This window comes from Homo sapiens, chromosome 7 (genome assembly GCF_000001405.40).
Source record: "Homo sapiens chromosome 7, GRCh38.p14 Primary Assembly".
NCBI classification, from domain to species: Eukaryota; Metazoa; Chordata; class Mammalia; order Primates; family Hominidae; genus Homo; species Homo sapiens.
Window position 1 is genome coordinate 215,825 of NC_000007.14, and position 22,022 is coordinate 237,846.

At 60.6% G+C, this 22,022-nt stretch overlaps 1 protein-coding gene across 4 annotated transcripts in view, besides 4 other annotated features; it reads left to right on the forward strand.

Annotated features, from left to right (window-relative positions):
• FAM20C (FAM20C golgi associated secretory pathway kinase) overlaps nucleotides 1–22,022 on the forward strand; it is a 68,202-nt gene that overhangs the window by 23,254 nt on the left and 22,926 nt on the right. The gene's annotated exons all lie outside the window — the stretch shown is intronic.
• Nucleotides 2,523–3,518: an enhancer, noted in NCBI's record as "H3K27ac-H3K4me1 hESC enhancer chr7:218347-219342 (GRCh37/hg19 assembly coordinates)". NCBI's record gives its function as "activates a minimal SCP1, AML or CMV promoter by ChIP-STARR-seq in primed H9 embryonic stem cells {active_cell/tissue: H9 hESC(primed)}" and the evidence as "EXISTENCE:reporter gene assay evidence [ECO:0000049][PMID:30033119]".
• Nucleotides 4,513–5,507: an enhancer, noted in NCBI's record as "H3K27ac-H3K4me1 hESC enhancer chr7:220337-221331 (GRCh37/hg19 assembly coordinates)". NCBI's record gives its function as "activates a minimal SCP1, AML or CMV promoter by ChIP-STARR-seq in primed H9 embryonic stem cells {active_cell/tissue: H9 hESC(primed)}" and the evidence as "EXISTENCE:reporter gene assay evidence [ECO:0000049][PMID:30033119]".
• Nucleotides 5,508–6,501: an enhancer, noted in NCBI's record as "H3K27ac-H3K4me1 hESC enhancer chr7:221332-222325 (GRCh37/hg19 assembly coordinates)". NCBI's record gives its function as "activates a minimal SCP1, AML or CMV promoter by ChIP-STARR-seq in primed H9 embryonic stem cells {active_cell/tissue: H9 hESC(primed)}" and the evidence as "EXISTENCE:reporter gene assay evidence [ECO:0000049][PMID:30033119]".
• Nucleotides 10,256–10,756: an enhancer, noted in NCBI's record as "H3K4me1 hESC enhancer chr7:226080-226580 (GRCh37/hg19 assembly coordinates)". NCBI's record gives its function as "activates a minimal SCP1, AML or CMV promoter by ChIP-STARR-seq in primed H9 embryonic stem cells {active_cell/tissue: H9 hESC(primed)}" and the evidence as "EXISTENCE:reporter gene assay evidence [ECO:0000049][PMID:30033119]".

Genomic DNA, 22,022 nt, shown 5'->3' on the forward strand with positions numbered 1-22,022 from the left:
AGAGGATGGGGCTGGGTGGGGAGCAGGGCCCGTGGTGTATGGAGAGGATGGAGCTGGGTGGGGAGCAGGGCCCCTGGTGTATGGAGAGGATGGAGCTGGGTGGGGGGAGCAGGGCCCGTGGTGTATGGAGAGGATGGAGCTGGGTGGGGGGAGCAGGGCCCCTGGTGTATGGAGAGGATGGGGCTGGGTGGGGGGAGCAGGGCCCCTGGTGTATGGAGAGGATGGGGCTGGGTGGGGGGAGCAGGGCCCCTGGTGTATGGAGAGGATGGAGCTGGGTGAGGGGAGCAGGGCCCGTGGTGTATGGAGAGGATGGGGCTGGGGGAGGGGAGCAGGGCCCGTGGTGTATGGAGAGGATGGAGCTGGGTGGGGGGAGCAGGGCCCCTGGTGTATGGAGAGGATGGGGCTGGGTGAGGGGAGCAGGGCCCGTGGTGTATGGAGAGGATGGGGCTGGGTGGGGGGAGCAGGGCCCCTGGTGTATGGAGAGGATGGGGCTGGGTGGGGGGAGCAGGGCCCCTGGTGTATGGAGAGGATGGAGCTGGGTGGGGGGAGCAGGGCCCGTGGTGTATGGAGAGGATGGGGCTGGGTGGGGGGGGCAGGGCCCCTGGTGTATGGAGAGGATGGGGCTGGGTGGGGAGCAGGGCCTCTGGTGGTAGATTCCCAGCCTGTGGGGTGACATCTCACTGAGGAAAGGCCAGCTGGGAGCCCTGGTCCTTGATGCTGGCCGGGGAATCTTTTCTCCAGAGACACCTGCCCTCCCTGCTCTTTCCAGCCTGGGAGTTTCTGTGTGTGTGTGTATGAGTGTGTGTGAGTGTGTGTGAGTGTGTGTGAGTGTGTGTGTGAGAGACAGAGTGTGTGTGAGAGTGTGTGTGTGTGTGAGACAGAGTGTGTGTGTGTGTGTGTGTCCGTCTACGTCTCCCAAAGAGACTGTCTGCAAACAGCTGTCCCAAGGCCCAGGAACTCCTCCCAGCCAAGACACATGAACAGAGGCAGTTGCAGAAGGGCTTGCGGGGCTGACACAGTATTTCTAGATGCAGAAACTTTAGCCCTCCTTCCGGGCTCTGACAACACATGGCCCGCTGGGGCCTGTCTCCGGGCAGCAGAGCTTGAGCAGTGACGAGGAATTAAAGGCAGGAGCGGGGGCCCACCCTGAACGGCCTCATCCCAAGCAGCATCGTACTGGCGTGAAGAGGCCCTGTGTCATGTCTGACTGGCTTCCTATGACCCAGGCACAGCTCCGGGGCCACAGCCAGATGCCTCCTCTACCGAGCGAAGGGGCCCAAGAGGAGGATGGCCGTCAGCGGCCCCCCAGGGGTGAGCAGATGCAGCTCAGACAAACCTTTCCCAGGTGCCCTGGGGCTGCTGACCCCCCGAGGCCTGTGGGGGAGGCGGACACAGCTTTGGCCTCGGACTTGCAGCTGCGTGGGGCCTTCTGCGGGACCTGTGTGCAGTGGGGGTGTTATTGGGGTCGAGGCTTGCCCAGGCCCCTCCTGGGGTCATCATCCCTGGCTCCTGTTGCTTTCTCTAGGTTGTGACATGGTGGTCACAGACTGGCTGTGGGTGAGCTCCAGCCCCTCCCGGGTGCCCCCCTTTAGGGTAGAGCTGCATTTGGCTGTTTGTGCATCAAGGGGGTAACATGCACCTGGACCTGGGGGAATTTCAGGGCCATCCTGGGGGGCGGTGCTGAGATGGTGGCCTCGGGCTTGGCTTGAGGTTAGGTGTGTCCCTAGAATGCACTGGATGGCAGACAGCTGCCTGGTGCAGGGCGGCCCTAGAGAGGTGCCGGCTTTCCCTGAAGCGGCTTCTGAGGCCTTTCTCGCACCCATGTCTAGGGCCAGGCAGAGGTGCCCTGAGGGTTCTCTGCAGTCCCACGTGGCCACGTCCAGAGAGGGCAAAACAGATGCAATATTAATAAGAAAGACGGGAGAACAATGACCCGGGGCCCGCGCGTCACTGCAAAGCTTTCCATTTGTACGAGGAGAGGACTGAGAGGTTCGATGAGCGCCTGGCTGGGGCTGGCCGTAACGGCCACCCTCAGAGGAAGAGGGGCCTGGCTGATGGTGGTGCACGTTGGCTGGGAGAGGAGGTGCAGCTGCTCTTTAATTGATGTTCTATTGATGTTCCTGTTCGATAAGCTACCTGGGGTCCTGTACAGTGGGCCGAGGGCTGCCCGTCCCCGTCGGCCCCGGGATGCTTTGTTAGCAGGACGTGTGAGGCCAGGAGTGGTGGGGTAGGGGTTGGACGCTCAGGCCTGCTGCCTGTGGGCTGGCTCTCGAACTTCCCCGGGCCTCAGCCTCCTCGTCTGTGAAACGGGGTCACACGAGCTGCCAGGCAGGCCACAGCGTTCACCCGGCAGCTCAAGCCCAGCCACAACCACACTGGCTGCTTTTCTCAATGAAGCAAAGTATTTAGGTGTTCACCACGTGGCTGTGGGGCCTTTCCGGCAGCTCCTCGCCCTGCAGGCCTGGGCTCAGCACTTCCTGGCAGCCGGGGCCCCTTTCCGGTGCTCCCGTCCTGGAGGGTCCCTCCGTGTGTCCTGCGGGGCCTCCGTCCAGTGCCGCGCTGCGTGCTGCCTCCTCAGTTCACCCGCACTGACCCTCGGGTGTGGCCCCTCTGACGGGACTGCACGACCTGCTCAATGTCCTGGTAAGCTCGTGGCCCAGCCGGGGAGCTGAAGGGAGGCCGGGACGCCAAGCTCCAAGCCTGGTCAGAGGGAGGGCGGGGCAGGGTCTGAGTGACAAGTGTGTGGGCATCGTTGTGCGGCCTCACCACCGCTCTGACGCCTCCTGGCTCTCTGGACATGACCCGTGTCCACCACGTGGCCCAGCCGAGGACAGGGCTGGTCACTCCTCCATCCCAGGGCTCACTCAGCCAATGCTTATTGATTAGTATAGACTGGGAAACCGAGGTGGGAGAGGTGACAGGAGCTGACACAGGCCCAGGACGCACAGATCACTCCCGTCCGGCCGGGAGCTGACACGGGCCCAGGACGCACAGATCACTCCGGTCCGGCCGGGAGCTGACACGGGCCCAGGACGCACAGATCACTCCTGTCCGGCCGGGAGCTGACACGGGCCCAGGACGCACAGATCACTCCCGTCCGGCCGGGAGCTGACACGGGCCCAGGACGGACAGATCACTCTGGTCCAGCCCAAACCCAGTGGCATGGACGGGACTTGCTCAGAACCTGTTAGTGGCTCAGACAGGACATAAAGTGAGGGTTCCCCAGTGCTCCCCACCGCACAGAGGCTGGCCCCTCCTGGGGTCGTCACCATGGGTGGTGGTGGTGTTTGGAGGCACGGTTGCCTTCTGCGGTTCTTGTCCCTTCTCCGTGATGCAGGAAGCCAGGCTCCACCTGGGGCGAGGTTTGAGGGGAGCATGTGACTTTGTTGTCCAGGGCTGGGCAGGTGAACAGGTGGAGAATGGGGGGAGGGGCTGGGGTCGCTGCATGAACCCCACCGTGAATGTGCACAGTCCGTGCTTGCTGAGTGCATGGATGAAAAGTGAAGGACACCCAGCCCAGGACAGCAACGCCCAGCCCAGGACAGCAACGCCCAGCCCAGGACAGCAATGGCCAGCCCAGGACAGCAACGCCCAGCCCAGGACAGCAATGGCCAGCCCGGGACAGCAACGCCCAGCCAGGGCTGTCGGCGGGGTCTGAGGGAGGCGCGTTCCCTCTCAGAGTGGGGGCTTGGCTTCGAATCCGGTACCTGAAGCAGCAGGAGGTGCCTCGGCTGTGGCTGTGCAGACCCCTCCTGGGGCCTTGGCTGAAGGCCTTGGGAGCCACAGGAAAAGCAATTCTGGCCAAGAGGACTGTCCAGCAGTCAGCCCAGGGTGTCCTGCAGAGACTCCTGGGTGAATCCTGCCAGGCAGGGACCTGGCCTCCAGGGCCGGGGTAAGGACGGGGAGGGCAGGGGAGCTGGGCTCACACTGGCTCTTCTCCTAGAGCCCATGAACTAAGGCTCGGGGAAACAAAATGGTTTTGAGGACCAGTGAGGGATCGGTTTGGAATTTCGAAGGATTTTCTGTTCTGCTGATAAAAATTCATGTTTCTCTCCACTGTGGCCTCACCGGTTCCAAAGGCAAACAGATTGCCCAATGGGCTGGGTGGGTGTGGACCCAGCAGAGGCCTGGGCCTGACCAGACCTGGACAAGGACCCCTTTGTGTCCACACTGGGTGTGGGCCGGCCTCCAAGCCCGCTCCTCACCCTGGGTCTGGCTGGGCAAAGCTGCCTGGCACTCAGGAGCTCCTGCTGACTCCCTGGGGGAAGCCAAGCCAAGACCCCTTGCAGGAAGGTTGATCCACCTCATTGGAAGCTGCCGGGACCCCCACATGCTGCCCTCGCTGTGGTGGGGTCCCTGTGCCCAGAGCTGCTGGCTCCTGGCATGGAAGTGGCCTCCTGGGTCCTGCCTGAGAGCCTGTCCCTTATAAACTCAGGAAATTAGGCCCTTGAGCAGAGGCCAAGTCCATTCTCCTCTCACCCCTGCCCTGCCCAGCAGAGTCGCTGGGCCCACCCACTGGGCGCCTGCTGTGGCTGGGGATGCTGCTCACGCAGGTTCCCACCTCAAGTGGAGCTTAAATTCCCGGGGGGCGTGGTCAACGCACGTGAACAAATACGCAGGAACGTTTCAGAGAGGGGTGATGCGTGGAGGGACTGAAACGAAGGAGCATGGCAGAGACGGGCTTGGTGAAGGGGGCGTTGTTCCACTGACCTTCTGGGGTCTCTCCCACAAACTGAGTTAAGCATGACCTCTGTGTAGGCACCGCCTGGGGAAGTCCTAGGAGGCGGCGTTGGAGCTGAGACCTGAATGGCATGGTCGGCAGCAGGGGGCGGTCTGGAGAGGAACATTCCTGCAAGGGCCTGTGCTGGCCACGTGTGCAGGGGAGAGAGGCCGGAGGGAGGGCGGGACCCGTGCACACAGGAAGCTCCACGTGGTGGGCAGGTCATCTGGTGCTCGAGCATAGGAGGCCTGGGGCGGTCAGCTGCATTTTCCCTGGGCACCCAGCCGTCACGCCCTGGGGAGCAAGGACAGGAGGCCTCCCATGCCTGAGAAGTGAGAGCCCGGATGGTGGGCCCAGGGCACAGGGCGGAGCCTCGTCTCTAGCAGGGCAGGGGGCTGCAGGAGCCGTTCTTAGCATCTGGGCACAGGGCGGAGGCTCGTCTCCAGCAGGGCAGGGGGCTGCAGGAGCCGTTCTTAGCATCTGGGCACAGGGCGGAGCCTCGTCTCCAGCAGGGCAGGGGGCTGCAGGAGCCGTTCTTAGCATCTGGGCACAGGGCGGAGCCTCGTCTCCAGCAGGGCAGGGGGCTGCAGGAGCCGTTCTTAGCATCTGGGCACAGGGCGGAGCCTCGTCTCCAGCAGGGCAGGGGGCTGCAGGAGCCGTTCTTAGCATCTGGGCACAGGGCGGAGCCTCGTCTCCAGCAGGGCAGGGGGCTGCAGGAGCCGTCCTTAGCATCTGGGCACAGGGCGGAGCCTCGTCTCCAGCAGGGCAGGGGGCTGCAGGAGCCGTCCTTAGCATCTGGGCACAGGGCGGAGCCTCGTCTCCAGCAGGGCAGGGGGCTGCAGGAGCCGTTCTTAGCATCTGGGCACAGGGCGGAGGCTCGTCTCCAGCAGGGCAGGGGGCTGCAGGAGCCGTTCTTAGCATCTGGGCACAGGGCGGAGCCTCGTCTCCAGCAGGGCAGGGGGCTGCAGGAGCCGTTCTTAGCATCTGGGCACAGGGCGGAGCCTCGTCTCCAGCAGGGCAGGGGGCTGCAGGAGCCGTTCTTAGCATCTGGGCACAGGGCGGAGCCTCGTCTCCAGCAGGGCAGGGGGCTGCAGGAGCCGTTCTTAGCATCTGGGCACAGGGCGGAGCCTCGTCTCCAGCAGGGCAGGGGGCTGCAGGAGCCGTTCTTAGCATCTGGGCACAGGGCGGAGCCTCGTCTCCAGCAGGGCAGGGGGCTGCAGGAGCCGTTCTTAGCATCTGGGCACAGGGCGGAGCCTCGTCTCCAGCAGGGCAGGGGGCTGCAGGAGCCGTCCTTAGCATCTGGGCACAGGGCGGAGCCTCGTCTCCAGCAGGGCAGGGGGCTGCAGGAGCCGTCCTTAGCATCTGGGCACAGGGCGGAGCCTCGTCTCCAGCAGGGCAGGGGGCTGCAGGAGCCGTTCTTAGCATCTGGGCACAGGGTGGAGCCTCGTCTCCAGCAGGGCAGGGGGCTGCAGGAGCCGTTCTTAGCATCTGGGCACAGGGCGGAGCCTCGTCTCCAGCAGGGCAGGGGGCTGCAGGAGCCGTTCTTAGCATCTGGGCACCCGGGAGGGAGGGGCCTGTGGGGAGCCAGAAGTGCGCAAGTCAGGAGACAGGGCAGGGCTGGAGGCCACGCAGGGATGTCTGGAGGTCCAGGGCAGCTGTGCTGTTGTGTTTTGTTTCTTAGAAAGCTTCTCAGTGGGTGTTATGGGTCAGTGGAGAGTGAGCGCCCTGTGAGAGTCAGGGCAGGCCTGGTCCAGCCCCCGGCAGTGAGGATGGAGGGACTTGGGTGTCCAGAGGAGCCCAGTGCTGCAGTTGGGTACTGAGAGCAGCTGGGGTCACCGTCAGCCCCCACTGTGGTCCCCAGACTTGCAGGCCCTCAGTAAGGGAGTGGATTGCCCTGGCACAGGCTCAGGAAGCAGATGCCTGGTGAAGAACGGCCTGAACCCCCCAGGCCCAGGGCTGGCACTGAGAGGGGAGTGCACAGGTGTCCACGGAGGCCCTGCCCCTCCTGGGGGCTCTGAGACCCTGGGGCCAGGATCCCAGCAAGAGGTGAAGGGACAGGCCCTGAGGTGCCAACCAAAGGCTGGAGAGCGGAAGTGAGGGGCCCTGAGGTGCCAACCAAAGGCTGGAGAGCAGCCCAGCACAAGGGGAGGCAGCACCGTGGCAGGCAGAGTGCCTGGAGTGCTGCTTGGTGCTGGGGGTGGGCATGAGCATGTGCTCATGTGTATGAGTAGGTGAGCGTGTGGGTGTGCATTGCCTGTGTATGCATGTGTATGAGTGTGTAAGGGCATGTGTGTGCATGCATGTCCTGTGTGGGTGCACGTGTCGGTGTGCGTGTGTGACGTGTACATGTGTAACGTGTGTAAGGGTGTGCATGTGTGGGTGTGTGTACACACGTGTGCATGTGTGTGTGAGGGCGTTCATCTGTTGTCATGCAGGTGCTGTGTGGGTGCATGTGTGGGCATCTGTACGTGTGTGTGCCCGTGCATGTGTATGTGAGGGCGTGTGTGTGCACACTCATGCACGTGTGTGTAGGCTTATGTGAATGTGGGGGAGTGTGCACGTGTGTATGAATGGAACCCGTGTGTGTTCCTATGAAGGGCAGATGGGACCAGGGCTGGTCCCCAGTTCTCAGTGAGAGGGCCTGGGGCGAGCTCCCTTCTGTCCAAAGCCTGAAGTGTGGGCGTGTACAGCTGTCCCAGCCTCACAGGGATGGAGACGTGGGGATTTCCGTGTTGTCAGATCGTCCGCTGGGCTGCAGGCTCCACGGCGGGTGGGTGCTGAGTCTTAGCTCAGCATTGTGTCCGCAGCACTAGCCACATAGCAGGGGCTCGATGTGTGGTTCTGAGCAAGTGAATGATCACAGAGCCTGCCGGGGTAGAGGCCAAGGAGCCCGTCTGTCTCGCTCTCCGGGGCTGTCCTGGTGGCTGTGGGCCTCGCAGAGGCAACCACTGCAAAGGATGCAGGAGGAGCAGAGGGGCAGGCGGGCACATGGTGGGGCAGATGCCGTGGGGCGGACATGTCCCTGCAAGTGACGTCTGCAGCCGGCTCGTCTGTGTGTGGGGCGTCCCGGCTGCTGCACCGAGCCCCGTGGGGACGGCACCTGGTGCCTGCAGAGGGGTCAGCCTGCAGCTGCAGTCACAGGGAGGGGCCCTTACGCGGATGCCGCAGGTGGTCCCGGCATTGGCCTTGCCGGCCCCAGGTAGAGGACGTTCACGTTGCTTCCAGTTTCCTGGCTTATTTTTATAGTCAGAAGAAAAATGAACTTTTTTCATTTGAAGAACAATCCTGAAATGAGCTTTCGAGAGACTCTATGGGGTCCCCTGCCCCAGGCATCTCAGAAGCACAGAAGGACGAGGAGGCTGAATGGGTGCTGCCCCTGAGGGGCACCTGGGACCCCTGAGCCTGCCCGGCCCTCCACCCCAGGACCGTCCTGTGTCTGCCCCGGGCTCCCGGCCCGCCAGCACCATCACGGGGGTCGCACGGCGGCTGTCCCCTGAGCCTTCTCTCATTGCGCAGAATGGCACCGTCACAGGGTCGCACGGCGGCTGTCCCCTGAGCCTTCTCTCACAGAGCAGAACGGCACCCTCACGGGGGTCTCACAGCGGCTGTCCCCTGAGCATTCTCTCACGGAGCAGAACGGCACCGTCACGGGGTCGCACGGCGGCTGTCCCCTGAGCCTTCTCTCACGGAGCAGAACGGCACTGTCACGGGGTCGCATGGCGGCTGTCCCCTGAGCCTTCTCTCACGGAGCAGAATGGCACCGTCACGGGGGTCGCACGGCGGCTGTCCCCTGAGCCTTCTCTCACGGAGCAGAACGGCACTGTCACGGGGTCACATGGCGGCTGTCCCCTGAGCCTTCTCTCACTGAGCAGAACGGCACCCTCACGGGGTCGCACGGCGGCTGTCCCCTGAGCCTTCTCTCATTGCGCAGAATGGCACCGTCACGGGGGTCGCATGGCGGCTGTCCCCTGAGCCTTCTCTCACTGAGCAGAATGGCACCGTCACGGGGTCGCACGGCGGCTGTCCCCTGAGCCTTCTCTCATTGCGCAGAATGGCACCGTCACGGGGGTCGCATGGCGGCTGTCCCCTGAGCCTTCTCTCACTGAGCAGAATGGCACCGTCACGGGGTCGCATGGCGGCTGTCCCCTGAGCCTTCTCTCACTGAGCAGAATGGCACCGTCACGGGGTCGCACGGCGGCTGTCCCCTGAGCCTTCTCTCATTGCGCAGAATGGCACCGTCACGGGGGTCGCATGGCGGCTGTCCCCTGAGCCTTCTCTCACTGAGCAGAACGGCACCGTCACGGGGTCGCACGGCGGCTGTCCCCTGAGCCTTCTCTCACTGAGCAGAATGGCACCGTCACGGGGTCGCACGGCGGCTGTCCCCTGAGCCTTCTCTCACTGAGCAGAATGGCACCGTCACGGGGTCGCACGGCGGCTGTCCCCTGAGCCTTCTCTCATTGCGCAGAATGGCACCGTCACGGGGGTCGCATGGCGGCTGTCCCCTGAGCCTTCTCTCATTGCGCAGAATGGCACCGTCACGGGGGTCGCATGGCGGCTGTCCCCTGAGCCTTCTCTCACTGAGCAGAACGGCACCGTCACGGGGTCGCACGGCGGCTGTCCCCTGAGCCTTCTCTCATTGCGCAGAATGGCACCGTCACGGGGGTCGCATGGCGGCTGTCCCCTGAGTCTTCTCTCACTGAGCAGAATGGCACCGTCACGGGGTCGCACGGCGGCTGTCCCCTGAGCCTTCTCTCATTGCGCAGAATGGCACCGTCACGGGGGTCGCATGGCGGCTGTCCCCTGAGCCTTCTCTCACTGAGCAGAACGGCACCGTCACGGGGTCGCACGGCGGCTGTCCCCTGAGCCTTCTCTCACTGAGCAGAATGGCACCGTCACGGGGTCGCACGGCGGCTGTCCCCTGAGCCTTCTCTCACTGAGCAGAATGGCACCGTCACGGGGTCGCACGGCGGCTGTCCCCTGAGCCTTCTCTCATTGCGCAGAATGGCACCGTCACGGGGGTCGCATGGCGGCTGTCCCCTGAGCCTTCTCTCATTGCGCAGAATGGCACCGTCACGGGGGTCGCATGGCGGCTGTCCCCTGAGCCTTCTCTCACTGAGCAGAACGGCACCGTCACGGGGTCGCACGGCGGCTGTCCCCTGAGCCTTCTCTCATTGCGCAGAATGGCACCGTCACGGGGGTCGCATGGCGGCTGTCCCCTGAGTCTTCTCTCACTGAGCAGAATGGCACCGTCACGGGGTCGCACGGCGGCTGTCCCCTGAGCCTTCTCTCATTGCGCAGAATGGCACCGTCACGGGGGTCGCATGGCGGCTGTCCCCTGAGTCTTCTCTCACTGAGCAGAATGGCACCGTCACGGGGTCGCACGGCGGCTGTCCCCTGAGCCTTCTCTCATTGCGCAGAATGGCACCCTCATGGGGTCGCACGGCGGCTGTCCCCTGAGCCTTCTCTCATTGCGCAGAACAACCTGGGTTTCACTGAGTTCCATGAGACCGGATGGGAGAAGAAGCAGGGGTGATCTTGGGGGTCAGACACCAGGGCTCACCTGACCTGCTAGGGTGTGTGGCCTGGAGTGCGATGGAGGCCTTTGGAGAAGGAGCTGCACCTCCCAAACCCACTGGGTTCAGCCTGGGCCCACTGCAGGCCGCCCTCTTGGTGTCCACGCACCCCATGTCCCACCACAGAGGACGGATTCCCTTCCTCTGCCTCGTGACCGGCTAAGCTGTCTGAGTCCCTGGAGAAGACCGGCTAGGAGGGGCCCTGGAGGGTCACAGTGCAGGGGGTGGAAGGTTTGAAAACAGATCAACGTTAACAGCGTGTCTCCTGCATGGGCTGACTCAGAGGGGCGTGCCACAAGGCCTAGTCACCCTCACAAGAGTCCCAGCGCTTACCAGCCAAGGACGAGGGCCCAAGGCTCAGGGAGGAGGGAGTCGCTGTCCCGCAGCCACACGGCCGCCCGGCTGGGCCTCTCAGGTGGCCCCGTGTGCCCCCCGGTCGTGGCCCCGATACCAGGTGGTGTTAAGAGACTCCACCCTCTCGCAGGTCTGTGGGGACGGGCACAGGCGGCCGCTCCACCCCACTGCCCACGACAGGCCCGAATCCGCCCGGGCTGGAGCCTCTGGCCTCTGAGGTCACTTTGGCTTGTCCAGACACCCTGATGATTTACTGGTGGCCAAAGTTACATCAACTGAGGCTGGCCACAGAAGGTAGCTGTCTTCTCCTGCCCTCACCTGGCAGCTAGACATTTCTTTGCTTAATAAGTAAAAGGAAATTATTAACAATTATGTAACCATTGCAGAGAATCTGACAGGGAAATGAATAAATGGTAAAAACAGCAAAACCCTCAGAGAGTGCGGTTCTGGGCCCTGCACCCACTTTACCGATGGGGAAGCTGAGGCCCGTCCCTGCAGCCGTCCAAGCCCACACTGGCACCCTCCCCTCGGCTGTTCCGATTAGGCCTTCTCAGCCTCCCCAGGCCGTCCGACCCTGGCCGACTGAGGATGTGTGTTTCCGTGGGGTCTCCTGGAAAAGATTACCCCATTTGTTGAAAATCAAGGAAAGTCATTTTTTTTTTCCAAAAGCATTCCCCAGAACGGCAATATCGAGGGTCTTTTTGTATTTTCTCCAGTTATGACGGTCGCCGGGGTGCCGCTAGTGTGTGGGCCATCGTTCTAATTGTCACGAAAGGGAGGGAAGATTAAAAGGACGGGAAAGAAAATATGGCCTTCATTTTCCTCGTACTGGGGACGAAAATGGAAGCCAGGGGATTTCATTCAAAAGCAGTTTGCTCAGGTCTGGTTGTTTTTAATGCCAAAAAAGGAAACTGCAGATTTAAGATCTCCTTAGACAAGCAGAGAACGGGCTCAAACACTAGCCCCTAACTATGCATTTAGTTTATTTTTCTTACTGATGTTTTTTTTAAACATCTAGGGCTCCACGGAGGAAAAACAAGATTGTAACAGTAACCTTGGTGCTCAATATTTAATCCTGGTTTAGTAGTTAGTAGCAGCTTACCCTTTTATTACTTTGAAATGAAAGGAAGCATCACAAGGGTTTCATAGGAAAGATGTCTGCACCTGTGTTTTCAGGCTACCGGGGAGCCCGCGTTCATTTCCAGTCTAGTCGTACTTCCCTGAGTCCTGTCCATGAATACTGGATGAGCCGACAGTAGCGTGTTTAAAACTACAGTGGGTCTGAGACTTTCAAGCAATTCTTTTTCCCCGTTTGCTTTTGAAATAAAGTCTAAACCATCGCAATTGTTTTCAAGTGGAAATGACTTCAGACTTTTACAGTTGCAAATCACTGAATCATTTTAAAATGGATTTTCATTAAATTGACCGTAAGAGGTTGAAGAGCCTCTTCTGAGATGATTTTCCAGCCAAAGAAATGATTCTCTCCTTCTTCTGTGTCTCACGTTGAAGAGCTGGCGCAGAGGTTTCCTGCAGACCCGGGAGGGGTACCTGGGGCCGGTTAGGAGGGTCCTAGGGTTCACCTGAATGGTTCTGAAGCCCTTTAGCCGCACCACAGCGACCCGTCAGAGCTGATGGGGGACGGCGGGCTCAGTCAGGCGCACAGGCCTGTGCCTGCGTAACGAAACACCAGGGGGGAAAGCCATCCGCCTGGCATGGTTGTGATGAGGCCCGTGGCCAATCAGAGAAATTCTGAGAAAATAAAAGATAGGTCAGTAGGCGACCCCTGCCCTGGGCAGGGTCTTGGCTCAGTGCTGCCTGTCCCCATGGGTTCCGAAGAAGGCAGGTTCATTGGAAAAGCTTGGAAATCTCTAGTCCTTAGATCACAGGGGCTCTTGTCAGTGTGGCTGTCTCAGACTGTGAGGACTCAGGCCCCTCTGCTGGGTTGAGGAGACCCCCAAGACTGGCCACCCAGGGGGCTGGTGTCACGGCTCAGTGTGGGGTCAACAAGCCAGGTCCGTGTCCCTGTCCCTCCCCTGTGAGAGGCTGACACTGCCATGGGGGCTGTGGAGGGTGGAAGGGGAGACGCCCGCTGCCTACACCCCCAGCTCTCCTCTGAGGGCAGCGTTTCCACAGAGCCGGTGTGAGCCAGGGGAATGACCTGTCCCAACAAGAAGCTCAGGTTTGGACAACTGGTGCCTGGAGCTGAGGTCCTTAGCATCTCAGCACAGCTGCCAGCCTCCACGGCACCTGTGGGTCCATCCCACATCCTCCACCAAGAGTGACCTGACTGAACAGACGCCACGACTCTCACGGCTCCTGCTGACGGCATGAGTGGGGTCCCGGGCAGCCTCCTCAACGTGTTTGTAGTCCTGACCTGTAACAACTGCATGCTGGCTGGAGGGTCCCACGCTGGGGATTCCTCCTCCTCAAACTCAGCACTGGGAGCCCCTTCCAAGACCGCCCACCAGGCATCTTGTTCATGGATGGGGATCACAGCCAGGGTGAGTAGCGACACCAGGACCCGTAGTCGGGCCACACCCTGCCCCACCCACGCACCCCACCCCCCCACCACCAAGATGCCTCCCTGTCAGCCCCACGGGGGCCACTCTAGGACCAGAAGCAGGGAAATGTCCCACCCAGGAGGGGCCCTTCACGTCCAGATGAGGTCTCGTCATAACCTTCAGCACCTCCGGGTTTGTGTGAAATAGGCGGATTGTCTGGGCTCCGATGTGTGGGAAGTGAGTTTCCTTCCACGTGCAATGAGGCAGCCCCCTTTTCTGTGAGGAATGCATTTTCTGGGAACTTTGCTGCAATGTGTTCTGGCTGGTGTATAAATAATTCCGCACATCGCCGCCCTCCGGTCCTTCCTGGGCCCTGTGCCATTCTCATTCCCAGTTCTCCTGACTCACACATGGCCGCTGAAAAAGACCTCCTGTGTTGAGCGGGAAGGCCTTGGCTGCAGCTGGTCCAGGTCCTGGCCGAGCCCAATGGGGCCCCTCCTGCCTGCAGCCCTGTGGCTGGAGAGCTCGCCGTCCTCACGCAAACAGTCCAGACCACAGCGGTGGCACATCGTGAGAATGACAGATGGGGGATGAGCAAGGTGCCAGGGGTTTTAAATAAGACGGCCGCGTTTTGCCAAACACCTACCCCACGGGGCTGGAACAAGTGACGCAGAAATGGGCAGGAAGCGTGGACCGCGAACTCGGGGACCAAAAGGTCGTGCCGGAGTCACTGCCAGGGAGAGCCCCGCACCTTCCAGAGCTCTGCCGGCTGAAAGCCTGGTATTAAACAGCTTAATATATCTCGCTAATGACAGGTGGTGGTTTTCTGCTGTGTGAGTGATGAGAAGATTACCCAAGATAGAAAGGCTAATTTTTGCCTCCGTGCCTTCATTTAGTGAGTCAGGGATCTAGTGTGTTTGGAGGAATAAGAAAGTGTCTGTCTTATCTAGTTTTGGGCCTCCCTGAGTTTGGCCCTGGAGAAGGGAATCCAAGAGAAATGGGATAGAAAGATGGGGTAGGGGGATGGGGAAGGACCAGCTTCCGCTTCCGCGACCCTCTGGAAGGTGCCCCGAGTATCTCGGGCCCCGGCCGTGGAACCTGTAAATGTCACCTTCTTTGGAAAAGCGGTCTTTGGAGGTGTGGTTAAATTAAAGACTTCGAGATGAGGACTTTCCCTGGGCCCAAAATGCAATCCCCTGTCCTCATAAGAGGGAGGTGGAGGGAGATTAAACGCAGAGGAGGAGGCCAAGGGAAGGGGATGCAGGGCTGCAGTAACAAGCCCAGGAGCTCCTGGAGCCCCCAGAGCTGGGAGAGGCAAGAAGGATCCTCCCTAGAGTCTCCACGGGGAGCTCAGCCCTGCCCACAGCTCAGCCTTGCATTTCTTGTCCCCAGGACGGGGTGGGGGGGGGGGGGAACAGATCCCCGTGGCTTAAAGTGCCCCTGTCTGTGGTTATTTATTACAGCAGAGCCTCGTGGCTGGACCTCTGTGTCCCGGCGTTCGGAACACCAGGAGCCCTTCACGAGGCTCCTGTGGGGCCGTGGGTGGATGGAGGGTGGCCGGGCCGTCTGGTCCACATGCCTCACCCTGGCCGGCCACCTCAGACAGGTCCTTGGTGTCTCCCCGATTCAGTGTTCCCATCTGTAAAATCGGTGGAAAAACGCCTGCCCCATAGAGCCTGGTATTAGATGAGTCGCGATACAGAAAGCTCTGAGGATAGAGCCTGGCACATGGAAAGTCCTGTGTGTTTACTGCCCTCAGTAATATACTGAATAATACCTATTGGTAAATGAAGGGAAAATTCCTGTGTGTTTACTGCTCTCAATAATATACTGAATAATACCTATCGGTTAATGAAGGGAAGAGTCCTGTGTGTTTACTGCTCTCAATAATATACTGAATAATACCTACCAGTAAATGAAGGGAAAAGCGCCACATCAACCTGGCTTCAGTGTGGACCCGCTGCTGGACCCCGGTGGGTCCTATAGTCCCAGCTACTCGGGAGGCTGAGGTGGGAGTTTCGCCTGAGCCCAGGAGGCTGAGGATGCAGTGAGCTATGAAAGAAAAGACGGCCTGGGAGATGATGCTGGAAGACACAGGCCAGGGTGGTCCAGGCCAGGGCAGCGAGTACAGAGGCAGGAGCAGCAGCCCCAGCAGGACCCTCCCATCCAAGCATCAGGAAGGCTGGCGTGGCCGACCCCAACCATCATGCAGACGGGAGACAGGAGTGGGTGCGCTGGGGGGTCTGTTCCGGGGCAGCGAGGACCCCTGGAGGGCAGAGCAGGAGCAGCAGCAGCATGTTCGGGGAGCCCGGGGTGGCCGGGGCGGGAGACGTCGACTGACACTTTGGTGGTGGTGAATGACACGCATCAGTGGGGCCCCATGGGAGGAGGGTCCCGGCGTGGAGGACTCTGTGGGAGGAGGGTCCCGGCGTCGAGGGCCGCGTGGGAGGAGGGTCCTGGCGTGGAGGGCCCCGTGGGAGGAGGGTCCCGGCGTGGAGGACTCTGTGGGAGGAGGGTCCCGGCGTCGAGGGCCCCGTGGGAGGAGGGTCCTGGCGTGGAGGGCTCCGTGGGAGGAGGGTTCTGGCTGAGGTCATCCAGCAGCTGCACTGTGTGGCCTGGCCTGGGGATGGTGTTCTTGGTAAGCCCAAGTGTGGTCAGGAGGCTGCCTGCCTGTTTCCAGGAGGGTGAGCAGGAGGCCTTAGGCACAGAGGAGCATCTGTGAGGGGCGCGTGCGTCTGGCTGAGTGGGCACCTGGCGGTGTGTGCAGGCTTCCCAGCTCTTACGGCCTCTCAGGCACCGGGTCTTTTTCTGCCTGTCTGGCAGGGTTTGGGAGGTGGTGGTTTTCCATAATGCATGAATGGTTGGTGTTTGACCCACCCCTCTTTGGGCCTCAGTTTCCCATCTGTGCCCAGGGGCCTGGGGCGGTCCTCTGTGCTGAGCAGGACACCCAAGGACTCCATCCTCCGGCCCCAGCACCCGCCCCTGCCCAGGGTTCCGCCTGATGGTTTGCTGTTGGTCTCTGCCGCCGACCCGGCATCCGTTCCGTCGGCCTCGTCGGGCTGTCCCTGCTTTGTGGGACACGCTGAGCCGGGGAAGGCATCTGCCTCCCTCATCAGACTGGACGCCCCTTTCCCTGCTCGGCCGCCGGCCCAGCTGGGTAGCAGCGGGAGCAAGGAAGGACAGTGGCTCTTTGCTGACGCCCTGAGCTGCCTCCTCTGCAATGCTTCTTGGAAAAACCTCGGGGGACACCCCACTCCCCATCCACCTGGAGAGGGTGGGAGTCGGTGGCCCTGGGTGAGCAGACCTTGTGGCTACCTGTCTGTTCTCCCATGTGTCCAGTGGAGAGAACGCGGCCCAGCCCCCCACCTCTCAGACCCCGTCCAGGGACATCCCGTGGCTCCACAGAGCCGTCTCCTCCCTGGACAGAGCAACCCTCACACCTGCACGCGTGGCCCTGGGTCACTGCCTGCACTGGCCATCTCCGTGACTGTAGAGCAGGGGGTCCCGAAGGTTTTGCGAATCAATTCACTCAAACAGCTTAGCACAGCGCTTAGCTCAGAGTGAGAGCCACATCCCTGTTGGCTTCTAGTCCCTCATAGGCATTGGTAATAAGCTGCCAGTTTCCTCTATTTTTAACCAAAGCAAACGTTTTCTATTTTCCCACAAACTGAAGAGCGTTGAAATGTTTGTTAGCAGCAACAGTGGGAACCGTTCTATGAGAAGGTGCCACGTGGTCCTAACAGCAGTTGGAGGGGCCAGCTCCGGGAATGCCTAGCGCCGCGGCTGACCGGCCCCTCGGCCGTGCCGGGATCGTGTGCGTTGCAGGACGGGGCACCCGGCGTGGTGTCCCTCCCGCTGAAGCCACAGTTGTTAAGGAGCCCTGGATTTCGGAGAAACAACGAATCCTCTTGGAGCCAGGACCTCTCCAGGGATGGGTCCTCTGCAGACCTCTGGGCCTGCAGCCCCAGCCTTCCTGAGAGGGGCCCAGATCCGGGAGGAAACACGGACGTTCGGAACAGCAGGAGCTGGTGTGTGGTTTTTGGAGGGCCCTGAAGAAAAGATCACAGGCCTGAGTCAGACTCCTGGTTCCCGTCCAAGCTGTGCCATGTTCTGGCCGTGCGATTCTGCAGACGCCTCTGTCTCCTTCCAGACCTCGGTTTCCTTGTCTTTAAAATGGGGGCAGCCGCGAGAGCCATGGGGGCTCCCGTGAGGACGCGTCGCCTGGCCCGGGGATGCACGTGTGGTGTTTGTCACCCTCTCTCTGGCTCCTTTGTGAACAGCAGTGCCTTCTCTCGATCATTCTGTGTGGTTTTCTAAGTGTCATGAGCCTTAGCATTGATGGCCTGACTGGATTTGGAGGAAACAGGTCGTAATTTCACAGCCTTTCCAGCTGGGACTAAATCACCGTGTCCATCTGCCCTGCCTTCGTGTGGCTGGGTATCCTGTATTCCCCTCCTTGGCTGCTGGAACAAATCACGGCAAACGCAGTGTCTTCAGACAACACAAGCATCCTCTTCCCAGCCCAGAGTGCAGGGGTCTAAAAGGACGTGCAGGCTGAGCTCCCCCGGGAGGCTCAGGGAGGAGCCGTGTCCTGGCCCTTCCGGCTCCTGGAGGCGCCTGCGTTGGCGGCTGGGGTCCCTCCTCCATCCTGAGAGCCGGCCGCGCAGCGTCTTCTGAAGTCAGGTCTCCCTCGGCCCCTCTTGCAGGGACGCTGTGGTCTCTCCTTCCCCAGAGCCTCAGTCACATCTGCACTGTGCCTCCCGCCACGCGAGGCAGCAGTCACAGGTCCTGGGGTTCAGATGCGGACAACTTTGGGGGACCGTTATTCTGCCAGCCACGAAAGGCCTGGGAGAGGTCAGCTCAGTCGTCATTCCTACTTTAGTATGAATAACCACAATTAGTACACCTCCTGTGTTGTTTTTCAGAGCTGAGGGAAATCCTTCTAAGGGAAGGGGTTTGGGTGTGGCCAGCTCTGGGGGGAGGGAGAGAAGGATGCACGGTGTTGGGGGCTGCAGGCAGCTCCTGGGAACTGGTCCTGGGCAGACCCCAGAAGATGTGGGCATCACGGCTGCTCAGTGCCCCCCTGGGGGCTGCCTTCCTGCCCCTGCCTTTCTGGTGCCCTTTGAGGCCCAGGGAGGCCGTCCCGGCAAGTGGAGGCGTGACGCCTGTGGGGCCTTCCTTCGTGAGGAGGAGAGCACGAGAGCCTTCCCGGGCTCGGCCGCCAGGATTTCACCCGGTTCTGCCGAGTCCCCCTCCTCGTGCCCTCAGTGGGACGCTGACCTCAGAGCTGCGTCCTGGGCCTCTTTCCTCAGCTGGGCTTTTACAAGGGCGACAAGCCCAGTCGGGAGTTGTGAAGTCAGCCTTTAAAAGTCTTCCTTGCTGCCCACGACTGAGGCTGGGCGTGGCCGGGTGCAGCTTGATCTCGCCTCACAGGCAGTGGTGGGGGGTCCCAGGCCCCGACCACTCCCTGTATCGGGGGTGGCTGGCCGAGGGCAGGGCCGGCGTGCCAGGACCGGGACTCCTCTGAGCCCTGGTCTTCTGGGGCCGCAGGCTGTGGGTGTCTCTCGTGTCTGACACAGGAGGCTTTGCCGAGAAGGTGCTTGGGGAGGAGTAGCTGCTGCATGGGGTCTGTGGTCCCCGGCACCATCGGGGCATCCCCGGGCCCTGTGTCTGCCCTCAGCATGTGGCTCCTTCCTGCACAGTTCAGTGAGTGACTTAGGAAGAACAGAAAGGCGGGTGTTGAAAATCTGCCCTGTCCTTCCCGCTCTGAGGCTGTCCTTCTGGCAGAGTCACGTGGAAGGTTTGGGACGGACAGCCCCAGCCCAGGCCCTCCCTCTGTGGGCCAGCGAGCTCCCATCCCTGCCGTTTCTCCGAGATGAGTCCCGAGAAGCCCACGGCACTGCATGTCTCATGGGGACCTCAGCACCCCCTTTCCAGGAGCCCTCAGGCCAGCACCCCTCTCAGCTGCGTTGCAACCCTGCAGCTAGGCAGACAGGGTGGGGCTAGGCAGGGAATGGGCCACAGTCATGCCAGGAATGGGCCCCGGGCCACTTGCTTCTCGGAAGTTCCCTGTGTGTTGAAAATGAGAGAAATGTCACATCACGTTAGCCCAGGCTGCGGCATTTTCAAACTGTTTACACTGAGCCCAGGCTGCGGCATTTTCAAACTGTTTACACTGAGCCCAGGCTGCGGCATTTTCAAACTGTTTACACTGAGCCCAGGCTGTGGCATTTTCAAACTGTTTACACTGAGCCCAGGCTGTGGCATTTTCAAACTGTTTACACTGAGCATGCTGGTGTCTTCTGCCTCCACGGTCTGGGGTATCCGGCGCCTTCTGAAATGCCGGACGCACGTGGACTGCCGATCTGTGAGCTCAACCCTGCAGCCCAGTGGAGCCCGTGACATGAGTGTGGGTTGCAGTAACCAGACCTACGTCCACGTGAGGGGCTGCAGGTGTGAGTCTCAGGACAAATGCACCTCCCCCAACCCCCGGGCAGGTGAAGTTCTATTCCACCCTGCACATAGTCAGCTTGTTTGTTTTAATAATTTCCTTCTTCGAATGTGATGTTTTGTTTATCGTCACATAAAAAGCAAAACCAGACCCCCTCCCTGAGCCCTGCCGAGGAGGTCCTGGGTAGCTGGCGCTTCCCTGAGTGGCAGCGCCGTCTCCTCCCGCTCGGGTGGGGCCCGCGGCCTTGGAGTTGCTGGAGCAGCCGGTCAGCTCAGCTTGCTGCTGGGAGGGACGGTCTGTCTGGCCTAGGCTGCATGGAGGGTCAGTGGTGGACGGGGCTGCCCACCTGTCCCACTCGCTGGTAGTCTCCTGGCAGGCTGACCATGCTGGTGAGGACTGTGACTTCTGGGCCTGGGCCCAGGGCTCCCAGCATGCTTTGGACTGACCATTCCTGTTCCAGGAAACATTTGGGCGACTGCCCTGTCTCCCCCAGCCACGGTACGCTCTGCTGCTCGGCTAACCCCGCTGGATCTGATAACATCTTTCCACATTTCAAACCCTGACTCCTGGAAAAGGAGACCATGCCTGTCACCTGCCCTCCTCACCTGGCATACCTTCTGTCAGGGCGCCCAGGAAGAAGGAGAGGCTGCCAGGTGACCGCTTCGGCCGAGTTCGTCCCCTTCCGTGCAGAGGGTTCAGTACTTTTCCAAAGCCTTTTTCCCGGGGGCTGAATCAGCAGCATCCCCTCCTGATCCCTGTGCAGAAGGGAGGCTGAGCGGCTCCTGGCCGAGGTGAGAGGCCGAGCGGCTCCTGGCCGAGGTGAGAGTCGGCCTGCTGGTCTCCGCCGAGGACGCCCCTCTCCTCTCAACCTTGCAGGTGCAGGGAGAAACATCCCAGTCTTCCCAGGCTGTCCAGCACTGCTGGCTTCTGGCAACCCTTGAGGTGTCCGTTGCAGCCCCTGTGAGCCACCTGGCTCTGAGAAGCCTGCGTGGCTAGGCCAGGGGATTGAAGCCACAGCTGCCTCCTGCTGTCACCAGTAGACCCGATCTTCTCAGGCGTTTACTGGCTGCAAAAATTTCCCCCCTTCCCCTCGCCCTCACCTGGGGACCCCCTGGGATCGTCTTGCTCCCACTTCTTACTCTGCAGAAAGGGAAACTGAGGCCTAGGGCCACCCAGCAAGCACTCTTTCTGCTCCCCTCATGGGCCAAGGGACATCTCACAGGGCACAGCAGAGAACTTGAGGGTGGAGATGATGATAAGGATGGTTGATGGTCGGGGTTTCATGCGGAGGTGAGGCGGGTGCCCTGGAATCTGGGGTCCCGGTGGCTGTCGGGGTTTCATGCGGAGGTGAGGCGGGTGCCCTGGAATCTGGGGTCCCGGTGGCTGTCGGGGTTATGGTCGGGGTTTCATGCGGAGGTGAGGCGGGTGCCCTGGAATCTGGGGTCCCGGTGGCTGTCGGGCTCATCTGGATGCGTGGCCAGAGGGCAGAAGACTCCAGGAGCATTTCAGAGCCTCTTCCAGGAGTGGGACATGGACAGAAAGCGTGTCATCACCACGTCTCTGAACTTCCTGGACTGTTCTAGGAAAAGGGGCATCCAGAAGCCAGGGACAGCCCGCAGGTGGCCTGTGAGGCAGATTGGCTTGGCCTGGATGTCAAAGCTGTGAGGATCCCAGAACAGGCTGCCTCGGGGCTGGGAATAGAACTGCTTGTTCTGTGAACAGCCAGCGTCATTGGAAAGCCCCAGGTATGAAATGCAGGGATCAGGAACTGTGCTAGAATCAGATTGGCCTCGAGGCAGGGCCTGGTCCCTTTTCAGTGCAGCAGGTCTTGGAGCCACCTGGATTCCACGTGCATGAACTGCTCAGAGGAGTAGGCAGGGGAAGGAGAGAGGGACAAAGGCCGAATCATCGGCAGATAGAAAAGCTCACATTTTAGCATCACACAACGTTGTCACTGTACCTCAGGTGATAATAGTGCAGTATGCGTTCACAGCAACAGTGGTGGAGATAATGGTGATGACGGTGATGACGGTGCTGATGGTGATTGTGATGATAGTGATGGTGATGATGGAGATAATGGTGATGGTGATGATGATAACGATGGTAAAAATGATGACGGTTACGTTGGTGGTGATGACCATGGTAGGAGTGGTGGTGATAGTGGTGATGATGATGGAGGTAATGGTGATGGTGATGATGATGGTAGCAATGACGGTAATGATGGTGGAGGTGATACTGATGGTGATAGTGATGATAGCCATGGGAGAGCTAATGGTGATAATGATGATAATGGTGATGAAGGATGGTAATGATGGTAGATGATGATAATGATGATGATGGTGATGGTGATGATGATGTTGATAAGGATGATAATGATGGTGGAGGTGATGATCATGGTAGAGGTAATAGTGATAGTGATGATG